This window comes from Homo sapiens, chromosome 3 (assembly GCF_000001405.40).
Source record: "Homo sapiens chromosome 3, GRCh38.p14 Primary Assembly".
NCBI classification, from domain to species: Eukaryota; Metazoa; Chordata; class Mammalia; order Primates; family Hominidae; genus Homo; species Homo sapiens.
Window position 1 is genome coordinate 37,641,564 of NC_000003.12, and position 18,823 is coordinate 37,660,386.

General features: G+C 41.3%; 1 protein-coding gene across 1 annotated transcript in view; it reads left to right on the forward strand.

Moving 5' to 3' along the window:
• Positions 1–18,823, forward strand: part of ITGA9 (integrin subunit alpha 9) — a 371,367-nt gene that overhangs the window by 189,423 nt on the left and 163,121 nt on the right. Inside the window, exon 17 of the mRNA NM_002207.3 lies at positions 12,151–12,227. Within this exon, the coding sequence (NP_002198.2) occupies positions 12,151–12,227 (77 nt within the window). The remainder of the gene's footprint in view (positions 1–12,150; positions 12,228–18,823) is intronic.

An 18,823-nucleotide genomic window follows, 5' to 3' on the forward strand; every position in this document is an offset into this window, starting at 1 on the left:
TCTCCATCTCTGCTGCCATTCCCTAGGCCAGGCCACCATCATTTGTCACCTAGACCAGGTCACATCCCTGCATAACCTCCTCCCGCTGAGGAGCTCCCTTCCCCCTCAGAAGAAAATCCGGACACATGCTAAGGCCCACGAGAGCCTGTACAGTGGGGCTCCTGCCTCGCCAGCGCCACCCGCATACTGCATTCCCACCACCCTCAAACTTACCAGGCCTCTGCCTGCCTCAGGCCCTTTGCATATGCTGATACCTCATCTAGAAAGCACTTTGCCATGCTTTTCCCGTGGCCAGCTCTTCATTTTTTAGGTCTCAGCCTAAATGTTGCCTCCTCAAAGAACCATTCTCCCACTACCCTGTATTTCCTGACTCAGCTGCCTTTCTTTGTTTTGACACAGGGTCTCATTCTGTCACTTAGGCTGGAGTGCAGTGGTGTGATCATGGCTCACTGCAGCCTCGACTTTCCAGGCTCAAGTGATCCTCCCACCTCAGCCTCCCAAGTAGCTGGGACCACTGGTGTGTGCCACCACGCCTGGCTATTTAAAAAAAAAAATTTTTTTTTCTGGACACAGGGTTTCCCCATGTTGCCCAGGCTGGTCTTGAACTCCTAGGCTCAAGGAATCCTCCTGCCTCAGCCTCCCTAAGTGCTGGGATTACAGGCATGAGCCACCGTGCATGGCCTTAGCTGCCTATTTGATTCCTTCGTGACATCTAACAGAACGTGTTATTTCGTCTACTTGTTATTGTATTTACCTCTCTAGAATGGAAGCCCAGTGAGGGAAGGGATCTATTTTATCTTATTTGCTATTGATCCGCAACACCTGGCAGAGAACCTGGCCTATAGTGGATGCTTAGTAAATAGTAAATAGTTGAAAGAGCCCTTCTGGAAGAACACAAGGCTAGTTCCTTTGGCAAAAATTGGGCATCATATCAGAGCTTCTTCACTAGCAGATTCAGCAGAGCTATAAAATTAAAAGAAATGTGTTCTGTAATCCCTCTGGGAATTCCCCACGGGCAAGAGAGCATGATGTGTGATTTGCAGTGACATATCTATACCACGGTATGTTTGTAGTGACTACTTTTCAAAAGACAAGATGGAGGATATACAGCTGGTGAAAGAAAAGGTGTCGGCTTTGTTGAGAAGTCTTACTTTGTTGTCTTTCAAGTGAAAAGTGAGCTATTTTAGTCTAATGGTAATTTTTAACTATGTTGAAGCCATACACTTTGGGTCTCCATTGTGCTGGAAATCGTCACTACAGCTCCTCCCACCCCACACCCCTCAATGCATGCATATAGGAATATAGCTCATGCTATGGAAATCCACTGTTTGCACAGCCTGGACATTAGGTAATAGTTTCCCGGCTGAGGTGCCCAGCTGGCTTAACATGCCATTATTTACAGCTCTAAGGTTTATTTTCATTATTATATTTAAACGTCTCTGCAGAAGGAATGGAAGGCTAAGAGGGTGGGAGAGTAGAAGAGGAGAGGGAGAAGAGTCACTCCAGACGTCAGAACCAGACAGGCTCCTGAGACCGTGCAAACTGGGGGATTTCAGATTGCACACTTGGAGTCAGGGCAGCAGTTTGGCTCAGCAGGAGGGGAAAGGGGTGTTAGAGGAAAAGGCTCCTGCCCTCCAATGTTGTTTGACCCAGATCAACCCTACTCTTATGGGTATCAGCTTCTGGGTAAATACTCTTTTCAAAGAGGGCACCATGGCAGAACACATGTGAAAACCATCTAGTTTGAAGTATGTGTGAGAAAAACAACTAATTCACCCTTCTCACTGACCAGTGGAGAAGTCTGGCCTTATCTGTCTGTCTCAGGCTTCTTCTCCAAGGTTAACCCCAACGGGAAAGGAGAGGGGACTCATCAAAGGTTAGACCATGTCCTGAAGTGACCTGTTGAATTTGCAAAACTTCTTTTTCAGTGTTATGTTTTATTTTTGCAATTTGTGGGGGGAAAATGCATTCTAGGCTTCTGAAACCCTTTTTAGAAGAAAATCATGGTTTCCTCAAACTCTTCAAGCTTATTGAGTTTTCTTCTGTATTATCCTGTCCTATTGAAAACCTTGTGCAAAAGTATGTGTGGGGTGAGAGGTGTTTAAACACACCCGGTGGACAGTGTCTGGCTGGGGAGGAAACGTTAGCCTCTCTTTTCTTATCTTATGAGATAATTTAGGAAATCAAGTACAAGGCCCTTGCTGTGTGCACTTATACCTGGAGCCTTATTTAGGGGATGTTCTTGCAGATAGATGGGGAGAAGTCTTGCTGGGATCCTCTCTGGTTTTAAGGCATTTTTTTTCTCACTCCCAGTTGCCTGCCCATGTCTGGTTTAGCAGCTTTTAGAAACGTGGCTGGCATCCTTTTTTCTTTTCTCTGACAGCACCAGCCCCTTTATTTGAACTTCCTAGCTGTTTTCTGCCTCTTCTGACTAATTAACAGCAACTAAAAAAGAAAAATGAAACATAGAACACAAAAAATTCCAGGGTGAAAAAGGAGAATTTCTAGTCCTGGGGTGCAAAAGTCCCTAGAAGAGAGTTTTGAGCTGAAATGAAAAGTTGTGATTATAGAGAGACATGAAATGTGTCCCATAAAAGGCCACCTAGTCCCAGGCAGATCCAGGAAGAGCACTGGGCTGGGAGTCCCATGGGGCCAGGGCCTCACCAAGCAGTCAGCCCTGCTCAGTTATCACAGGGGTTGAACTGGATTGCCTAAATGATGCCTTTAGATGGATGGAACTGGAGTCCATTATCTTAAGTGAAACAACTCAGACACAGAAAGACAAATACCACATGTTCTCGTTTATAAGTGGGAGCTAAATAATGTGTCCACATAGAAGCAGATTGTGGGATGATGGACAATGGAGGGGTGGGGAAGTTGGAGCTGGGTGGATGATGGGAGGTTGCTTGTTGGGTGCAATGTGCATTGGCCCAGTGATGGATGCACCAAAGGCCCTGACTTTGCCATGACAGAATATATCAATGTGGCAAAACTGCACTTGTATCCCATGAATATATACCATGTTTTTAAAAATGTTGCCTTTGGGCAGAGGGGATAATTCTGCAAACTGCAGAGCCATGGAGTAAAAAAAACACCCAAGATAGCAGAACTTGTCATTTCTAGTTTTTCCACAGGACCATAAAGCAAAATTGGTGCCGGGTTTGTATTTAAAGGGAAACCAAGAGGGTTTTTTTATCCTTCCATGGTTTCAAAATCTGGAAGGACAATTTGTACAGACCCTGAGATAGAAGGATTCCTCAGCTTTAATTTCATGAACGATTTGCCTTTCATTGATTCTTGAGGATATGAATGTTTTAGAAAGCAACAGTGTATGCCTTGATTTTAAGAGGCAATGAGCCTTTTCCTTCCTTCGTTTAGGCATGGGGCTGAATGGAGCTGAAATTCCTGCACTCTTATAACGTGCCACATGAAGGGCAGTTTTGGATTCTGGGAAAACAGCCCATTGAAACAGAATTGGGAGGGAGAAACCTCTTACACTCAGGTCATGGTATTTATATGAATACAAAAAAAAATTTAAATACTGTGCTAGGTGCTGGGGGTTATAAACATGAATTACATGATTAGGGCCTCTGGAAACTTGTGTGGGGCTATAGAAGGAACACCAGTTCAGAAATGTCACTCCTGTCATCCAGACAGGATGCTTCACCATAGGGGCAGAGACCTTCTGCTAAGTCATACCGCATATCAAGAAATATATTGCTAGGCCAGGCACGGTGGCTCACGCGTGTAATCCCAGCAGTTTGGGAGGCTGAGACGGGCAGATCACTTGAGATCAGGAATTAGAGACCAGCCTGGCAACACGGGGAAACCCCATCTCTACTAAAAACACAAAAATTAGCGGGGCATGGTGGTACGTGCCTGTAATCCTAGCTACTCAGGAGGCTGAGGCACGAGACTTGAACCCAGGAGGTAGAGGTTGCAGTTAGCCAAGATCGTGCCACTGCACTCCAGCTTGGGCGACAGAACAAGACTCATCTCAAAAAAAAAATGCATTGATCAAATCAGCTTAAAAATAGCCTTCTTGTTTGCTCTTCTTGGTGTGGGATTATTCAGTCCAATTCTTCTACTTTTTTTAGGCCTCAGCATGGGATTTGGTTGTCATATCAACCCTATAAACAGTGTTGAATCCATGTCAATAATTGTATTTTTTAAAAGCAAATATCACCAAGTCCAAGAAACTGATCCTCCTCTGAACATGATAGCTGGACTAGGCTAAGAATCCTATTTCCTGTTAGATCAGAAGTGAAGATTTTCTGGTACAGATTTGGGTGGGAGAAATGAGCTACCCTTCCCAAGGCCTTAGCACCTAGATGACATCCTCTCTGAAGTCACCCTCAGCCAGGAGCGGACACTGAGCTGCTATTTCTGAATCACATGTCCCCAAAGCTGCCCTGGCCTTGGTGACCATGGCACTGTAAGAGAAGCACAGCCAGCCCCAGCGTCCTTACTCTGACTCAGAGGAAAATGCAACTTGAGCTGGATTCATTGAAATCTTTTTTTTCCTGGCCTGAAGGAAATGAAGAAACATAGCCAAATATTCTAAAACAGGATTCAACAAACAGCCCATAGGCCAAATCCACCACTGCCTGTTTTTGTAAATAAAGTTTTATTGGAACACATCTATGCCCATTCCCTTATGTATTATCTATGGCTGCTTTTGCTCTACAACAGCAGAGTTGAGTAGTGTGACTGAGACCATATAGCCTACAAGCCCAAAACATATACTGTCTCACCCTTTTCAGAAAAAGTTGCCAGCCTTGTTCTAAAAGAAGTAGAGTAAGGATTTAGTGAGAAGCTGGAGAAAATATTTTCAAAGACAACTGTATTCTCCAGGGAAACCTGAGATGAAGACCAAGGTGAGGAAGGAGCCAGCAGAGAAATCGAGTCCATGAGGCTGAGGAGGCCACTGGATGTCCAGTCTTCAGCTCTCTGAAGCCTGAGACAGGAAACAGTTGTCTCCCGAGAGAAAGGTTTGAACCTCCTTTAACTAGGGAGGAATAAGAGATGATGGCTTCTTAGATCTGTTTACATTTGCTGGAAAAACTTCTTCCAGGGAAATAACTAGACAGGGCTTTGGCCAACTAGCAGGTGAAGTCTGGAGGGAGGTGGAAGAGACTGCTTCCAAGCTGGGTTCCGATTTGTCTGATTGAAGCAGCCAAGCTTGTGTTTGCCAGAGGACTTAGGAGGATGTGGATAAAATCAGGCTGAGGCCTTTTTTTAAAGGCCCAAGCTGGAGCTATTGGGATTGTTCCCTCAGAGGAAAATCAGGAGTTTGGGCCATTGGCTTCATGGAGAACCTGTACTTTGTACCAAGGAGAAGTCATTTCTACTTGGTTTTTGAAACTGCATTGTCATCTAGTATTCCAAGGCTTTAGTCTGTCCACCCTCCTGCTCCAGAGAGATGCCTTTCAGTTCCTTAGGAAACAAATTGGCCATTTGCCCAAAGAGACTAATCCAGGACTAGAACACAGGCACTGAGTTTCAACCTCAGGCTCCCCAGTGCGTGACTCAGGTCTCTTGATTCCATGGTGTATTGTTTTTTTACCTATTAAACAATTGCATTCCTAGCCTATGGAAGGTCTTACCTAAGCCAAGACTTTGGCAGGGATTGGATTGTGCAGCCCATTTTTGTTAATAGCATTGCCCAAGTTAGGGAAGGCCATTAGGTTGGCTGAGTATTCTGGTATTCTATTGCTGCATAACAAACTCTGAAATTTAGTAGCTTAAAATAACATTTATTTTGTTCATGAATTTGATTTCATTGTTTTTTAATGTATGTAAGGTATATAAAATGATGTTTTGATGTACATTTACATAGTGAAATGGCTACTATGGTCAAGCAAATGAACATATCCATTGCCTAACATAGTTTTTTTTTTTTTTTGATAGTAAGAGCACTTGGAATCTACTTTATTGTCAAATTTCCAGTATATAATACAATATTGTCAACATAGTCATCACGCTATACATTCAATCTCTAAATTTTTTCATGCTACCTAACCAAAACTTTGTACCTTTGACCAACATCTCCCCATTCCCTACTCCCTACCCCCTCCCCGACCCCTGGTAACTATCAGAGTTTCACTTTCTGGTTCTGTGTATTTAACTTGTTTAGATTCCGCAATAAGTGAGATCATACAATATTTTTCTTTCTTTTTGTGACTTGTTTCACTTAGCATAATGTCCTCCAGTTTCATCCATGTTATCAAAAATGGCAGGATCTCCTTTTTAAAGGCTGAATAATATTCCATTGTATGTTTATATATGTGTATATATATATGTGTGTGTGTGTAGTATATATACATATATACACACCACAATTTCTTTATCCATTCACCTGTTGACAAACACTTAGGTTGATTCCATGTCTTAGCTGTTGTGAATAATGCTGCAATGAACATGGAAATGCAAATATTTCTATGAGGTACTGATTTCATTCTCTTTGAGTATATACCCAGAAGAGGAATTGCAGGGTCATATAGTAGTTCTATTTTTATTTTTTTTGAGGAACCTCCATACTTTTTTCATAATGGCTGTACCAATTTACATTCCTACCAACAATGTATAAGGGTTCCCTTTTCTCCATGCCCTCACTAACACTTTTTATCTCTTGTCGTTTTTATAGTAGCCATCCTAACTGTTGTGAGGTGATATTTCATTGTGACTTCGATTTGAATTTCCCTGATGATTAGTGATGTGGATATTTCAGCAGAAACCTTGCAGGTCAGAAGAGAGTGGGGTGATATATTCAAAGTATTGATGGAAACAGTGCCTCATACCTGTAATCACAACACTTTGGGAGGCTGAAGCAGGAAGATCACTTGAGCCTAGGAGTTTGAGACTAGCCTGGGCAACATAATGAGACCTTGTCTTTACAAAAAATAAACAGAAAATTATCCAGGCATGGTGGCATGTGGCTGTAGTTCCAGCTACTTGGGAGGCTGAGGTAGGAGGATCGCTTGAGCCCAGGAGGTAGAGGCTGCAGTGAGCCAAGATGATGCCACTGCACTGCAGCCTGGGTGACAGAGTGAGACCCTGTCTCTAATAAATTAATAAAATAAAATTTAAAAACCCTACTAGCCAACAATACTATACCCAGTAAACCTGTGCTTCTCAAGTTGAAATGAAAGGACACTAAATAGCACAAGAGAGCATAATAAAGAAGGAAACTCGTTGGTAAAGGTAAGTATATGGACAAAATCAGAACACTATATTACTATAAAGGTGATGAGTAAATAGCTTTTATGTCTATGAAGAAAGTTAAAAGACAAAAGTATTTTAAAAACCATTATAAGTATTAACTAAATTATGTTAATGGGTACATAATATAAATAGATATAAACTGAGGCATCAATAGCATGTAACTTGGGGGGAGCAGAGGGAAAATCAGAGTTTTTATGCAAGTAAAGTTACATTGTGAACTTATAACAGACTGTTACAAATTATTTCGTGTAAGCTCCTGGTAACCACCAAGAAAATACCTATGGAAGTTATATATATAAAAAAAGAAAGGAATCAAAACCTATCGATACAAAAAAAAAAAAGAAACAAAACAAAAGAAAACCGCAAGGGAGAAAAAGAGGGACAAAAGAACAAGACACATAGAAAATAGTCACCAAAATGGCAATAGTAAATCTGTCTCTATATTTACTTTAAATGTAAAAAGACTAACCTTCCCAATAAAAAGATACAGCATGACTGAATAGATTATTAAAAAAAACAACAACAACCAGGATCAAACTGTATGCTGTCTACAAGAAGCTCACTTTTAGATTCAAGGACACACAGAGAGATGGAAAAAGGTAGTCCATGCAAATACCAACCAAAAGAGAGCAGGAGTGGTTAATACTTATATCAACAAAATAGACTTTAATTCAAAAACTGTCTCTAGAGACAAAGGTCATTTCTTAATGACAAAGGGTCAATTCAACAGGAAGACATAACAATTATAAATGCACCCAGCATCAGAGCACCTAAGTATATACAACACTGACAGATCTGCAAGGAGAAATTGATAGCACTATAATAATAGGAGATTTCAGTACCCCACTCTCAATAATGGATAGGACATCTAGACAGAAAATCAGTAAAGAAGCAGTAGACTTGAACAACTGGACCTGTGTAACAAATGGACCTAGCTGGCATATACAGAACTGTTCAGCCAACAGTGGAAGAACATTCATTTTTCTCAAGTAGCCATGGAACATTCTCCAGGATAGATCACATATTAGGTCACAAAACAAATCTTAGCAAATTTCAGATCGAAATCATACCAAGTATCTTTTCCAACCACAATGGAATGAAACTAGAAATCAGTAACAGCAAGAAAATGGGAAAATTGTTTGTGAATTCATTTGTGAATTTGCAATTTGGCAGAGCTTGATCAACACAGCTCTCTGTTCCATATAATGTCTATCAGCTGGGGCAACTCAATGGGATTGGAGGACATCTCTGAGGTTTTCACTGTCATGGTGACTCACGTAGCCTGCAAGTTGATGTGGCAGTCAGTGTCTCCTGTGAGCCTCTGCATGGACAGCTTGTGTTTCTTGCAGAGTGGCTAAATTCTAAGAACAAATGCCCCAAGAAAATTAGGAGGAAGCTCTATTGCTTTTTATGACCTAGTCTCAGAAGTCACATAGTGTCACTTCCACTGTAGCCAAAAGTCCACCCAGATTCCAGGTAAGGGAGCATTAGACCCCACCTCTCTATGGGAGTAGTTTCAAAGTCACATTGTAAGGAGTGCCATCATCGAGATATTGTTGCATTGATTTTTGGAAAATAATTTACCTGCACAGAGGTAAATTCACATCAATTCTTTGTCTCCTTATTTCACCATCCATTAATGTTTGTTTGTTTGTTTGTTTTGAGATGGAGTTTTGTTCTTATTGCCCAGGCTGGAGTGCAATGGTTGGTCTCGGCTCACTGCACCCTCTCTCTCCTGGGTTCAAGCAATTCTCCTGCCTCAGCCTCCCAAGTAGCTGGGATTACAGGCACCCACCACCACACCCGGCTAATTTTTGCATTTTTAGTAGAGACAGGGTTTCACCAAGTTGGCCAGGCTGGTCTCAAACTCCTGACTTCAGGTGATCACCCGCCTCAGCCTCCCAAAGTGCTGGGATTACAGGTGTGAGCCACCATGCCTGGCCCCACCATCCACACCCAGCCCCACCATCCATTAATTAAGCTTCATGGTGTTCACTCAGTCACACTGTTGTCGCTCTCATTTGCCAATGTTAAATAGTGATGCACAGTGCCTAAGACAAAATTGCTATCACTGCAAGCTCCTACCCCTGGCTAAATGCTAATCTGGATTTATGGGACAGTGACGAGTGCTATTATTTTCATTTTATAAATGAGGAAACTGAGTCCTGGAGGGAAGAAAAGTCAATTTTCTTAATGTAATACAATTAAAATAGGATTACACTTTGAATTTCCTTATTTCTTAACTAGTATTTTATCTTTCCATGATTGTGCTTAATTTTATCTTATCAGTACAAGCACTCATATAACCTGTAGGGATATTTGTGTACATGTGCATGTGTGCATATACACACACGCACTGTGTGTGTGTATATGTCAAACTCAGTGCTTGCCTTTGTTGGATGGAAATTCAGCAGCACTGGAGGACTAGACAGCTAGAAAAGCCAGTTTCAGGGACAGGAAATAGTAGAGTTCAAGGAAAAGTTAGGACAAGGAAAATGAGTCTTTACAAAGCAACCAATTCCTCGTGAGAAGTCTTTGCATCTCACATGGCTAAGAGACAGTACTTTGGTTAGGGGCCTGGAGCTTTGGTTTTGATGAACAGTGTGCTGGTATTGGCTCTAAGCTGGGGCATCCACCATTTGGCTCCCCATTTGAGTGGTCACTCTGTCTCTCAGAGCAATGTGTGGTCTTTCGGTGTTGATAAAGCAGCAACTACATGCCAGGCCCTAAGGGCAGGCACAGAGGCAAGCAAGACCAGTACAGTGCCCCCTGCAATCCTCTTGGGACATCATTTTAGCAGGGGAGACTACCATTGAACATGTAATGATAAAATTGATTAGTTATGATTGAGATGAGCAGTAGGAGGGAAAAGTGTGTGGAACTGTGAGAGCTCACGATGGGCCTGAACTTGCCCAGGGACTCAGAGAAGTGGTCTGGATTTGCTTGTTGAAGGGTGAGAGGACATGTACTAGGTGAACCAGCTGGAGGAATCTGGGGATCCACTTGTGGGGAGGCCCTGGGTGGGAAGTTGTAAGGACAACCAGAGTGATAGCTGGCATGAGAAAGCCAGGGTGACAGAGGTGAGGAGGGCACATGCCAGATCTGGCAGCCTGCATGTCACCAGATGGATTTAGGTCACATCCTGTTCTTCCGTTCTCACCTCTTTCACCTCCATCTCCACCTCCACCTCTACCCCTTCACCTCTCCATGCCTCACAAAGTTGGACTGTCTTGCCTGTGAGACAGGAAAGGCATGTGTGATGAGGGGACTGTACACTAGGGGCCAGTCCAGGTTTTGTGAGACCTGAGGCTTATATAGTAGAGGGTGGGGTCTTGAAGGAAAAAAAAAAAAGGTGAAATTATGAAGACAAAGTTTGTGCAAGGCTTCCCTAGGGGCCATGTCAGCTGGGGACCTCTAAGCTGAAGTTTCACTAGTGTGGTGGGGAAGCTCCCTTTGGCACCTTCCCTCTGTCCTCAAAGCTCATAAAGCCCACCTTTCATCTTGCCTGAGACGTTCATGCCATCCTTACACCCACTTCCTCCTGTTTTCTTCTTAGTTAAGATGGCAAAGAAAGAGCAAATATATTGAAATCTCCTGGAAATTTGGCTCTCTCCTTGACCCCAGTAGTGTCCAAAAGAACACAGGAATTTCCTCTTTTTTCCCAAGACTTCCATGATATTTTCCCTGATAATCAAGGAAGGGAGTGTTGGCTGGGACACTTTTTTCTTTTGGAAATGTGGCAGGGGAATATGAATTTTCATAGGCGAAATTACTCTGTCTGGTCGAGTCTAGACTGTTCGTTGGCCAGCACGTTTGCTGGCGCCCACACTGACACTCTGAGGTGCTGCCTGGACTTATTCTCTGGGCAGGGAAGAAATAACCTGGAACTACATTTTGGGGAAAAAACTCACGAACATGAGCAGTGACAAGGAAGAAGTTTAATAATGAGTAAATTACAACTAAAAGTTGTCAACAGGCTCTTCTCTCCAAATTCCACTGAAATGAGCAAAGCCATCTAACAGTAGTGAAGAGTCTCTGTCATCTGGAACTTGGGGAAGCTACTGTCCATAGATCTGAAATGTCAGAGAGGTTGAGACAGATTGAGGGGAAGACTAACAAGCCCTCCATGGACCGTAGAAGAAAGCCCTAACCCCTCTCCAAATGCTGCTGCTGATCTCCTGGCAAGCCTCCACAGATAGGCCCAGGCCCAGGCACAGCCAGCAAGCTCTCTGGAAATATTTGGGTTTTGACATGCCAAGACTTGGCCCCAGTAAGGGCTGGGTGGGGCTTTGGCTGTTGAGGCCCAGTCTTGGTTAGAGAAAAGGCACTGTGTCCCTGTTAACTGCTGGCTGCCCCACCAACAAACTGGAAAGAATCTCCCCCAGTCTGTTGTGATTCCCTCAGCCTGATGGCCTAATTGCCTTTGCCTTTTCCTGTTAATACTGACAATTCAATACAGTCCCATTGCTCAGGCAGAACCTATTTCATATATAAATTTCCTGCATCCCCAAGGCAGAGCAAATAGGGGGAAATGACCAAACTATAATCTGAGAGTTCTTTACTCAACTGGATTATCATTCATCTAAGAGCATCTGAAAGACAGTCTCACACAAGCAAAGACTGAAAGGACATCCACCACCACGTACCTCTCTTGAAAAAACTGCTTGGAGAAGCACTTCAGTAGACTAGGGAATGAATCAAATAAGTAATGCACTGACAAAATCAAAACCACAGTTGACTTAGGCTTCCTTGGAGCTTGGAAGAACCCCTTCCCACGCTGGAGAGCTGGCTTTTTGGAGGTGGGAGTAGAAGCCCTGAGGGGCTCAGGGGAGGAATTCCCACTGATTTGCAAGAAAGGAATTGGCCACTGTGTACTCGTTTGCCACTCAATCCTGCCCTAACCTTCCTCTCCTGTCTTTCTCACAGACTGTTTTTGAAAGGAATTGCCGTTCAGAGGACTGTGCCGCAGACCTGCAGCTTCAGGGTAAACTGCTGCTCTCCAGGTATGTCGGTGTTTCCTTCAGAGCATTGTTCTCAGGCTCCTTTTTCTTGACCCCAGGTCCCAAACCTGAATGTGCAGATTTCCCCACTGAAGAGGATAAACAGAGTTGATGGGTTACAGTAATATTCTGTGGTTTTAAAAAAATGTATGTTACAAAATAATTATAACAAAAGCTTTGTTGGGAAGATTGTTTAGGTTTTTTTGTGTGTTGATTGCAATTCCACATATCTCACAATGTAGCTTGTATTTCTAATTTCTATGAGTATTTGAGGGGTGGCTATTTTATGCTTGCTGATTGTATTAAGTTGAATCATATGAAATTGCCAATATTTGAACTTTTGGACAATTTCATATGTATGATTCATCCTATTATTAAATAAAGGTTTATGCCCTCCTGCCTCCACACACACACACACACACACACACACACACACACACACACTAGTGTATGTTTTAACAAGTAACATTTCTGTGGCAGGAGAGGGCTGAAGGAGAGGGGCAGGCTGCCCTGATCCAAGTGAGCAGATAGTCTCCTTATTGTTTCAGGGTTTCCTCCCGCACTGCATGAATCCCCCAAGGCTAAAGGTGAACCGTACAGCGGCCTTCTGTTTCCTCTTTGCCAACCTTTTATTTTAGACTTCATTTAGGATGAAGGTGCTGGTCCTGATCATTTAGCCTCATTTCACAGAATGGCTTCCTTTTGAAACAGTTCCTTCTGAAAGACTGTTTTAGCCTTGGGGCCAGAAACCCCTCTATTAGTTTTATTACCATTTCTGAAAAACAGTCACTAGTTTTGGTAGTTATTTTTCAAAATGCATAGTGTATCCCTTACTTAAAACTATGAGAGTTAAGTTTGGATGAAATGACATGAATATACTATTATGAACCAGTGCCTACACTAGGACATTTTTTTTATTGTTATACTTTAAGTTCCAGGATACATGTGCTGAACGTGCAGGTTTGTTACATAGGTATACACATGCCATGGTGGTTTGCTGCACCCATCAACCTGTCATCTACATTAGGTATTTCTCCTAATGCTATCCCTCCCCTAACCCCCCACCCCTGACAGGCCCCGGTGTGTGATATTCCCCTCCCTGTGTCCCTGTGTTGTCATTGTTCAACTCCCACTTATGACTAAGAACATGCAGCATTTGGTTTTCTGTTCTTGTGTTAATTTGCTGAGAATAATGGTTTACACCTTCATCCATGTCCCTGCAAAGGACATGAACTCATCCTTTTTTATGGCTGCATAGTGTTCTATGGTGTATCTGTGCCACATTTTCTTTATCCAGTCTATCATTGATGGGCATTTGGGTTGGTTCTAAGTCTTTGCTATTGTAAAGAGTGCTGCAATAAACATATGTGTGCATGTGTCTTTATAGTAGAATGATTCATAATCCTTTGGGTATGTATACCCAGTAATGGGATGGCTGGGTCAAATGGTATTTCTGGTTCTAAATCCTTGAGGAATTGCCACACTGTTTTCCACAATAGTTGAACTAATTTACACTCCCACCAACAGTGTAAAAGCATTCTTATTTCTCCACATCCTCTCCAGCACCTGTTGTTTTCTTGACTTTTTAATGATTGCCATTCTAACTGGCGTGACATGGTATCTCATTGTGGTTTTGATTTGCATTTCTGTAATGACCAATGATGATGAGCATTTTTTCTTATATTTGTTGGCCGCATAAATGTCTTCTTTTGAGAAGTGTCTGTTCATATCTTTCGCCTACTTTTTGATGGGGTTGTTTTTTTTCTTGTAAATTTGTTTTAGTTCTTTGTAGATTCTGGATATTAGCCCTTTGTCAGATGGATAGATTGCAAAAATTTTCTCCCATTCTGTAGGTTGCCTGTTCACTCTGATGATAGTTTCTTTTGCTGTGCAGAAGCTCTTTAGTTTAGTTAGATCCCATTTATCAATTCTGGCTTTTGTTGCCATTGCTTTTGGTGTTTTAGTCATGAAGTCTTTGCCCATGCCTATGTCCTGAATGGTATTGCCTAGGTTTTCTTCTAGAGTTTTTATGGTTTTAGGTCTTACGTTTAACTCTTTAATCCATCTTGAGTTAATTTTTGTATAAAGTGTAAGGAAAGGGTCCAGTTTCAGTTTTCTGCATATGGCTAACCAGTTTTCCCAACACCATTTATTAAGTAGGGAATCCTTTCCCCATTGCTTGTTTTTGTCAGGTTTGTCAAAGATCAGATGGTTGTAGATGTGTGGTGTTATTTCTAGGCCTCTGTTCTGTTCCATTGGTCTATATCTCTGTTTTGGTACCAGTACCATGCTGTTTTGGTTACTGTGGCCTTGTAGTATAGTTTGAAGTCAGGTAGCATGATGCCTCCAGCTTTGTTCTTTTGGCTTAGGATTGCCTTGGCTATAGGGATTCTTTTTTGGTTCCATATGAAATTTAAAGTAGTTTTTTCTAATTCCATGAAGAAAGTCAGTTATAGCTTGATGGGGATTGCATTGACTCTATAAATTACTTTGAGCAGTATGGCCATTTTCACGATATTGATTCTTTGTTTCCATGAGCACAGACTGTTTTTTCATTTGTTTGTGTCCTCCCTTATTTCCTTGAGCAGTGGTTTGTAGTTCTCTTGAAGAGGTCCTTCACATCTCTTGTAAGTTGGATTCCTAGGTATTTTATTCTGTTTGTAGCAATTGTGAATGGGAGTTCACTCATGATTTGGCTCTCTGTTTGTCTGTTTTTGGTGTACAGGAATGCTTGTGATTTTTGCACATTGATTTTGTATCCTGAGACTGCTGAAGTTGCTTATCAGCTTAAGGAGATTTTGGGCTGAGACTATGGGGTTTTCTAAATATACAATCATGTTGTCTGCAAACAGAGACAATTTGACTTCCTCTTTTCCTATTTGAATACCCTTTTTTTCCTTCTCTTGCCTGATTGCCCTGGCCAGAACTTCCAATACTATGTTGAATAGGAGTGATGAGCGAGGGCATCCTTGTCTTGTGCCAGTTTTCAGAGGGAATGCTTCCAGCTTTTGCCCATTCAGTATGATATTGGCTGTGGGTTTGTCATAAACAGCTCTTTTTTTTTGAGATATGTTCCATCAATACCTGGTTTATTGAGAGTTTTTAGCATGAAGGGGTGTTGAATTTTGTTGAAGCCCTTTTCTGCATCTATTGAGATAATCATGTGTTTTTTTTTCATTGGTTCTGTTTATGTGATGGATTATGTTTATTGATTTGCATATGTTGAACCAGCCTTGCATCCCAGGGATGAAGCCGACTTGATTGTGGTGGATAAACTTTTTGATGTGCGGCTGGATTCAGTTTGCCAGTATTTTATTGAGGATTTTAGCATTGATGTTCATCAGGGATATTGACATGAAATTTTCCTTTTTCGTTGTGTCTCTGCCAGGTTTTGGTATCAGATGATGCTGGCCTCATAAAATGAGTTAGGGAGGAGTCCCTCTTGTTCTATTGAATGGAATAGTTTCAGAAGGAATGATACCAGATCCTCTTTGTACCTCTGGTAGAATTCAGTTGTGAATCCGCCTGGTCCTGGGCTTTTTTTGGTTGGTAGGCTATTAATTACTACCTCAATTTTAGAACTCGTTTTTGGTCTACTCAGGGATTCGACTTCTTCCTGGTTTAGTTTTGGGAGGGTGTATGTGTCCAGGAATTTATCCATTTCTTCTAGATTTTCTAGTTTATTTGCATAGAAGTGTTTATAGTATTCTCTGATGGTAGTTTGTATTTCTGTAGGATTGGTGGTAATATCCCCTTTATCATTTTTTGTTGTTTCTGTTTGATTCTCTGTTTTCTTCTTTATTAGTGTGGCTAGTGGTCTCTTTTGTTGATCTTTTCAAAAAAAAAAACCAGCTCCTGGATTTGTTTATTTTTTTTTTGAAGGGTTTTTCATGTCTCTATCTCCTTCAGTTCTGTTCTGATCTTAATTATTTCTTGTCTTCTGCTAGCTTTTGAATTTGTTTGCTCTTACTTCTCTAGTTCTTTTAATTATGAAGTTAGGGTGTCAATTTTAGATCTTTCCTGCTTTCTCCTGTGGGCATTTAGTGCTATAAATTTTCCTCTAAACACTGCTTTAGGTGTGTCCCAGCAATTCTGGTATGTTGTGTCTTTGTTCTCATTGGTTTCAAAGAACTTATTTATTTCTGCCTTAATTTCATTATTTACCCAGTAGTCATTCAGGAGGCCATTGTTCAGTTTCCATGTAGTTGTGCAGTTTTGAGTGAGTTTCTTAATCTTGAGTTCTAATTTGATTTCACTGTGGTCTGAGAGACTGTTATGATTTCTGTTCTTTTGCATTTGCTGAGGAGTGTTTTACTTCCAATTACATGGTCAATTTTAGAATAAGTGTGATGAGGTACTGAGAAGAATGTATATTCTGCTGATTTGGGGTGGAAAGTTCTGTAGATGTCTATTAGGTCTGCTTGGTCCAGAACTGAGTTCAAGTTCTGAATATCCTTGTTAGTTTTCTGTCTCATGATCTAATATTTGACAGTGGAGTGTTAAAGTCTCCCACTATTATTGTGTGGGAGTCTAAGTCTCTTTGTAGGTCTCTAAGAACTTGCTTTATGAATCTGTGTGCTCCTGTATTGGGTGCATATATATTGATGATAGTTAGCTCTTCTTGTTGCATGATCCCTTCACCATTATGTAATGCCATTCTTTATGTTTTTTTGATCTTTGTTGATTTAAAGTCTGTTTTATCAGAGACTAGGATTGCAACCCCTACTCTCTTTTGCTTTCCATTTGCTTGGTAAATATTCTACCATCCCTTTATTTTGAGCCTATACGTGTCTTTGCACATGAAATGGGTCTCCTGAATACAGCACACTGATGGGTCTTGACTCTTCATCCAATTTGCCAGTCTGTGTCTTTTAATTGGGTCATTTAGCCCATTTACATTTAAGGTTAATATTGTTATGTGTGAATTTGACCCTTTCATTATGATGCTAGCCAATTATTTTGCCCATTAATTGATGCAGCTTCTTCATAGTGTTGATGGTCTTTACAATTTGGCGTGTTTTTGCAGTGGCTGGTACTGGTTTTTCCTTTCCATGTTTAGTGCTTCCTTCGGGAGCTCTTGTAAGGCAGGCCTGGTGGTGACAAAATCTCAGAGCATTTGCTTCTCTGTAAAAAAGTTTCTTCTTCGCTTATGAAGCTTAGTTTGGCTGGATATGAAATTCTGGTTTGAAAATTCTTAAAGAATGTTGAATATTGGCCCCCACTCTCTGCTGGCTTGTAGGGTTTCTGCGGAAAGATTCACTGTTAGTCTGATGGGCTTCCCTTTGTGGGTAACCCAACCTTTCTCTCTGGCTGCCCTTAACATTTTTTCCTTCATTTCAACCTTGGTGAATCTGATGATTATGTGTCTTGAGGTTGGTCTTCCTGAGGAGTATCTCTGTAGTGTTCTCTGTATTTCCTGAATTTGAATGTTAGCCTGTCTTTCTAGGTTGGGGAAGTTCTCCTGGATAATATCCTGAAGAGTGTTTTCCAACTTGGTTCCATTCTCCTCATCACTTTCAGATACACCAATCAAATGTAGGTTTGGTCTTTTCACTTAGTCCCATTATTTCTTGGAGGCTTTGTTCATTTCTTTTCATTCTTTTTTCTCTAATCTTGTCCTCATGCTTTATTTCATTAAGTTGATTTTCAGTCTCTGATATCCTTTCTTCTGCTTGATCGATTTGGCTGTTGATACTTGTGTATGCTTCATGAAGTTCTCGTGCTGTGTTTGTCAGCTCCATTGGGTCATTTATGTTCTTCTCTAAACTGGTTATTTTAGTTTGCAATTTCTGTAGCCTGTTTTCAAGGTTCTTAGCATCCTTGAATTGGGTTAGAACATGCTCCTTTAGCTCAGAGGAGTTTGTTATTACCCACCTTCTGAAGCTTACTTCTGTCAATTCATCAGACTCATTCTCCATCCAGTTTTGTTCCCTTGCTGGTGAGGAGTTGTGATCCTTTGGAGGAGAAGAGGCATTCTGATTTTTGGAATTTTCAACCTTTTTGTGCTAGTTTTTCCTCATCTTCATGGATTTATCTACCTTTGGTCTTTATGTTGGTGACTTTCAGATGGGGTTTCTGTATGGACGTACACTAGTACATTTTAACTTATGATGGCACATGATCTTTCATTCATCAAAGGAAAGTAATACTAAGATTCCTTTTCTTCAGTTTGAGTTTACTGGAGGAAGATGATGTAACACACACACACACACACACGCACACACACACACACAAATAGTCCTCCAAACCACTTAAATATTAATTAGCATTACTTTTACTTAGGGCAATAGTGGTAGATTAAAATAGCACACGTTTTGCCAAGCTTACAAAATTACTTAAAACTCATGGCATGGATATTAGAATTGTTTCACATTAGTACGAAGGACCTCCTGGGATTATTAGAGGAACTGACTTTAAAGAAGTTTCATAAATTTGCAGCTCATTAATTTTAATTTTAAATAGGCCTTCCACAAAGTGTTTTAGGGAAAAAATAACAAGAAACAAAAATATATGGATTTGTTTTGTCTTGAGGCAGACTGGAAATGCTGGAAATTTATTTTGGATCGTAGAAAAACTTCATGTGGTGGGAAAATGTTCAC